Raw genomic sequence first — 6,000 nt, forward strand, 5'->3', positions numbered from 1 at the left:
AAAATTTCTGCTACAGAGGGTTTTTTGTTTTGTTTTGCATGATTTTTATTTTTAAATGGGTGGAAGAAAGGAATAAGCAGGTTTTTTTTTTTCAATAATTCCTAAAGATCATACTATGGAGAGAACATCTACTTACACCACCAACCCATATTCAGGCCTTAAGTCTCCAATTTTCTTATTCACTCATCAGAGAAAGTCTTTTACACAGGTACTCCCATTCCTGCATAGCCACACTGATGGATAGACACAGTGTACCTGACCTCACCTCTAAGAACTCAACATGGCTGTCTCTCAACTGGTCTCTCATATAGAAGCCTTGGAGCCCTGTCAGGGCCTCCTCCTTGTCATTCCCAAGGGTACCTTGTCTTTCAAGCTCTCTATGGATCTTCTCAGCTTCTTCCTTCAGCCTCTCTTATCATATTTTGCTAATTCTCTTTTTGTAGTTCTTACCTTAGTTACACCCCCATTATCTATTTTTGTCTTTGCCTTTCTTACTACACTGTGGGCTTGCTGAGAGCAAACACCACGTCTTATTCATCTTTTTATCCCTAGAATCTAAAACAGTCAAAGACATAGAGGGGATACTCTATTAACGGTTATGACAAAAATAACTCAATCAGTCTTACTCCACCAGAATGTAATCTCAAGGGTGGTGAATAAAAGGGTTGCCTGATGGTCTCTGAAGACGAGGTTCCTAAAATGGTCTTCCTCAGGGATGAACCTGGACTTATCCTTCTAACTCTTGCCCCTGGGTGGAGCTGACTTTTATGCATTCTTTTGGCAGTCACTCATTGAATTTTGAATTTCAGAAAGAAGAGCCTCATTGCAGAAATACGCATCAACTGCAGTTAGGAAAAGGATCTTTCTAACAGCTAGAGTTGTCAGGAGACTCTGAAGAGGGTCGTGTTTGGTGGGAAGGAGGCTGGGTGTCCCCTGAGTTCCCTTCTATAATAACGAACTCTAAGGCTTGGTAGTAGCCTGGGTTCTCTGATGTGACACCCTCAGAAGACAAAGCGATCACATGGCCACGGGATGCAGATTTGTCCCCATCAGGCCCAGGGCATGAAAGGACCCAGCCCGGGCATGGCAAGTGGTGTTGTCATTAGCATTGTGCCATTATTTCAGTGAGTGACATTACCCCCCTTATTCATATCCATTTTCATGGTCACTTTGTGGCAAACTTGGGAACATTCTGTAGTGAACAAAAATTGCACAGTTATCACACATATGGCCACCTCACATCTGGTGAACGATTTCCCTTTGGTAAACTTGGACGTCCGCCATTGCGTTCCCCTTCCCCACAGTAGAAGCCAGGACTCTCTTTTCCAGCTTTATTTGCAGCTGGGGTGCAGGCAAGTGCTACAGGCCGCACAGCAGGGGCACTGCAAGAGACTCAACTAGTAAGAACCAGGAGGAGGCAGAAAAGGGAGCGAATCTATGCTATGGGAGGCCAGTGCCATCTGGCAGGGGGACACAACTCTCTGGCTGGTCTCAGAAAGGGCCAGTCTGGTGTCCTGTTTGGTGTCTGCCTGGCCCCACCTCTGTGGCCACAGGGGACTCAGTGTGTCACTTGTTTAGTGCTCCTGGTTGTGCAGTTCCCATGCCTGCCTCTGGTCTCCCAGAATTTCTGTGACCTAGTGATACCCTTTGATGAACGTTTTTTTTTCTCCAACAAGCTAGTGGTATCATTTGCAACTAAGGATGTAAATGTGTATGGTTGATACAGGTACTGAAAACAAAACTGTATAGTTTCTTTTTGCTTTCTTGACCAACTCTCAGGATTTGTCTTTCTGGCCTTGATGCAGTTTTGAATGAATATTTGTCAATGTGATTTTGTACTAATGCCTGGCTCCTTTGCCTTTGGGCTTATTCTTCACTCTCTTCCTCTTTGCCTTGTGTCATGGCATTGGGGACCGGCAGTGGGCTGGCCCTGCTCCTTGGGTATTGTAGACTGTGTTGTGGTTTCCACTTGAGTCCCACCAATGGGAGACATGGTGGCAGGGGAAAAGGCAGGAGGGAGGGAGAAGCCAGGGTATTCTTCCCCACCCAACCTCAGTTAGTGTCTCCAGCAGGGCTACGTCCTCTCCTTTGGGACTTGAGCTCTGCTGGGACAGGTCCCCTGGGCTCAGCTTCTGACAAGTGTTTCTGGCTCTGTCCTTCAGCCTCGAAGGGAGGTGAGGTAGTGGCTTCCTGCTATGTCTGATCTCTGCATTGCCTCACTGTCCCCAGTGCACCTCTCTGCTTTTCCTTCATCTGTGTAACCAATTCACTTACCAAATTTCCTCTATTTTATTTATTTATTTATTTACTTATTTTTGAGATGAAGTCTCACTCTGTAGCCCAGGCTGGAGTGCAGTGGCACAATCTCAGCTCACTGTAACCTCTGCCTTTTGGGTTCTAGCAATTCTCCTGCCTCAGGCTCCCAAGTAGCTGGGGTTACAGGCACCTGCCACCACGCCCGGCTATGTTTTGTATTTTTAGTAGAGACGGGGTTTCACCATGTTGGCCAGGCTGGTCTCAAACTCCTGACCTCAGGTGATCCACCCTCCTCAGCCTCCTAAAGTTCTGGGATTACAGGTGTGAGCCACCAAACCCAGCCAAATTTCCTCTATTTTAATGTTTAGAGCAGATCCCATTTTCCTGGTTGGACCCTGATTGGTACAGTTCTCTATACCACTCCGGTCCAGGTTAAAGAACCAGCATACACCTGTCGGCTGGAGACGAGACTGTCTGGGCAGAGCTTTGTGCTATTTGATAGAATTCCCCTTCTTGCTTTGGACAAGATCACTTCTACAGAGTTGACTACAATGAGGCAAGTGTTAGCAAGCCATCTACGTAACTCTTCTGGCCTTTTTGGAGAACAAGAAACAGCTTTCAGAGAGATTTGTTGATGGAAAAAGTCATGATTAGAAACAGCAGCTGATCAAAAAAAAAAAAAAAAAAAAAAAAAGGCCAGGTGTGGTGGCTCAAGCCTGTAATCCCAACACTTTAGGAGGACAAGGCAGGTGGATCACCTGAGGTCAGGAATTTGAGACCAGCCTGGCCAACATGGCAAAATCCCATCTCTACTACAAATACCAAAATTATCTGGGTGTAGTGGTGGGCACCTGTAATCCCAGGTACTCAGGAGGCTAAGGCGGGAGAGCTGCTTGAACCCAGGAGGCAGAGGTTGCAGTGAGCTGAGATCGAGCCATTGCACTCCAGCCTGGGTGACAGAGTGAGACTCCGTCTCAAAAAAAAGAAACAGCAGCTAGCTGAATCCTTGCCTCAAGGACCAGAAGATCCCACAAGGAATAAAGCAAGGTAAAGAAAAGAGGGACCAAAAAGGGGTGATAAATATTCAGCCTGCAGGGAATTTAGAAAATTTCGTCAGCTCTTAGAAAAAAAATTATACGCACTTTTCTATCTAATTCATGAGAGGGGAAAAAGACTAAGTATGCAAAGTATTTGTTGTGGCATTATTTATTAAATTAAACCTCGATGTCCAACACTAAGAAAATTATGATTTTCATCGTAATACATTTTACCCCGTGGAATAGTTTACAACCAATAGCAGGGTTAATTATGAAGGGATGTAGCAACTGAGGAAATAGTTACAGCAATGTTAAATAAATAAAACTAGCAGAACCAGACAATGTATCGGCTCTGTGATCACAGCCATTTAGAAGCATAAATGTCTATGGATAAACTGGAAATGGGGTAGGAGAAGGAGGAGTTGATATGCGAAGGTGATGTGATGGTAGGTGTATTGGTTTTTATGAAAGTGCCTTTGTTTTTGTAAAGTTTTTTTTTTTTTTTAGATGGAATCTCTCTGTCAGCCAGCCTGGAGTGCAATGCCATGATCTCGCCTCATTGCAACCTCCGTCTCCCGGGTTCAAGTGATTCTCCAGCCTCAGCCTCCCCAGTAGCTGGGACTAGAGGTGCGTGCTGCCATGCCTGGCTAATTTTTGTATAGGATGTTTGTACAACAATAAGTACTCTTCCATTCCCTTCTGATATGGTTTGGCTGTGTCCTCACCCAAATCTCATCTTGAATTGTAGCTCCCGTAATTCCTACGTGTTGTGGGAGGGACCCGGTGGGAGATAATTGAATCATGAGGGCAGTTTCCCCCATACTGTTCTCATGGTAGTGAATAAGTCTTACAAGATCTGATGGTTTTATAAGGGCTTTCCCCTTTTGGTTGGCTCTCACTCTCTCTTGCCTGCCACCATGTCAGATGTGCCTTTTGACTTCCTCCATGATTGTGAGGCATCCCCAGCAACGTGGAAATGTGAGTCCATTAAATCTTTCTTTCTTTATAAATGACTCAGTCTTGGGCATATCTTTATCAGCAGCATGAAAGCAGACTAATATGCCTTCCCATCCTTTTCCTTTCCTTTCTTATCTAGGGTCTTGTAATACTAAGTGATAACAAGAAGGAAAGAGTCGGGGCTGAGAGGCAGCCAATCACCAGGATTTAGGGCACAGGGAAGAGGGCATGGAGGCAGCAAAGAGTATTAAGAAGAAGAAAATTAAAATAGCAGAAACTAGATAATATGAAATTTTAGTGATTCTTAGGGCCTATGGAGGAAGAAGAACATGTAGGATTTTAAAATTTGGGCTAAATAACTGTATTAGTTCGTTCTTGCATTGCTATAAAGAAATACCAGAGACTGGGTGATTTATTAAAAAAAAAAAAAGAAAAGAAAAGAAAAGAGGTTTCATTTGTTCACAGTTCCCCAGACAGTACAGGAAGCATGGCTGGGGAAGCCTCAGGAAATTTACAATCATGGTGGAAGGTGAAAGGGAAGGATACGCTTCTTACATGTGCAGAGCACGAAGAAAAGAGAGCAATGGGGGAGGTGCTACACACTTTTAAACAACCAGATCTTGTGAGAACTTACTCACTATCAAGAGAACAGCAGGGGGCAAGTCCGCCCCTATGATCCAATCACCTCCCACCAGGCTCCTCCACCAACATTAGGGATTACAGTTCAACATGAGATTTGGGTGGGGACACAAATCCAAACCATGTCAATAACATATTGTAGCTTTCATTTTCAATATTTTACAGTTTCCATGTTATCGGCATAGCAGATGGTGAAGCTGTTTCTTGCCACAATGACCAGGTGAAAAAACTGATGCTAAGAGAAGTTAAGTGACCTGCTCAAATTTATACCACTAGCAATGGCAGAGCTAGGCCTGGAAATAACTTCTTGGGTTTCAAGTCTAACGTATTGGCTTCCACACCATGTTTGCTTCTAAACAACTAAGGTAGTGGTTGATCAAAATCAATGTCCCCAATGGTCAGAAGTGGCACTGCCCCTTGATCAGTCTTGAGACATCCTTCTAAGTGTCCTTGAGTTGCTTTGGCAGAACACAGCAGTGTGTTCCTGCCTCTCTCTCTAGATAAAAGTTGTCTCTGGAGCAGGATTTTCTTATGTGCTGCTGGGGAGGCTTCCGGTTGTTTGCAGTAGCTCTCTCTCCACATGTTAATTCCCAGGCTGCAGAAAACCTGCTCATGGAGAACATCAGCTGCTTTAGGAAGGCTACAGGTAAAAAGGGCTGCCTGCATTTTGGGAGGCCGAGGCGGGCGGATCACGAGTTCAGGAGATCGAGACCATCCTGGCCAACATGGTGAAACCCCGTCTCTACTAAGAATCCAAAAAATTAGCCGGGCGTGGTGGCGGACGCCTGTAGTTTCCCAGCTACTCGGGAGGCTGATGCAGGAGAATGGCGTGAACCCGGGAGGCGGAGCTTGTAGTGAGCCGAGATCGCGCCACTGCACTCCCGCCTGGGCGACAGAGCGAGACTCCATCTCAAAAAAAAAAAAAAAAAAAAAAAAAGGCTGCCTGCAAGATAATAGGAGACAATAGGACCCCTCACAGGACAGGTGTAGGATTAAATGTTTTTAAAGTATGTGTATAGGAATTCATGCAACGCCTACCACATAGAAAGTTAGCTACCTAGCTGGTAGTAAGAGTCCCACTAGTCATAAAAATAGGGATAGCAGCAAGTCA

The 6,000-nt window shown here is 45.0% G+C and overlaps 1 long non-coding RNA gene across 1 annotated transcript in view; it reads left to right on the top strand.

Moving 5' to 3' along the window:
* The window catches only part of LOC101929256 (uncharacterized), a 62,244-nt gene extending 58,405 nt beyond the window's left edge, over positions 1–3,839 (top strand). Inside the window, exon 4 of the long non-coding RNA XR_001747405.2 lies at positions 3,801–3,839. This is a non-coding gene — a long non-coding RNA (uncharacterized LOC101929256). The remainder of the gene's footprint in view (positions 1–3,800) is intronic.
* The last annotated feature ends 2,161 nt before the right edge of the window (positions 3,840–6,000 follow it).

Source organism: Homo sapiens, chromosome 10, assembly GCF_000001405.40.
Source record: "Homo sapiens chromosome 10, GRCh38.p14 Primary Assembly".
Lineage (NCBI taxonomy): Eukaryota > Metazoa > Chordata > Mammalia > Primates > Hominidae > Homo > Homo sapiens.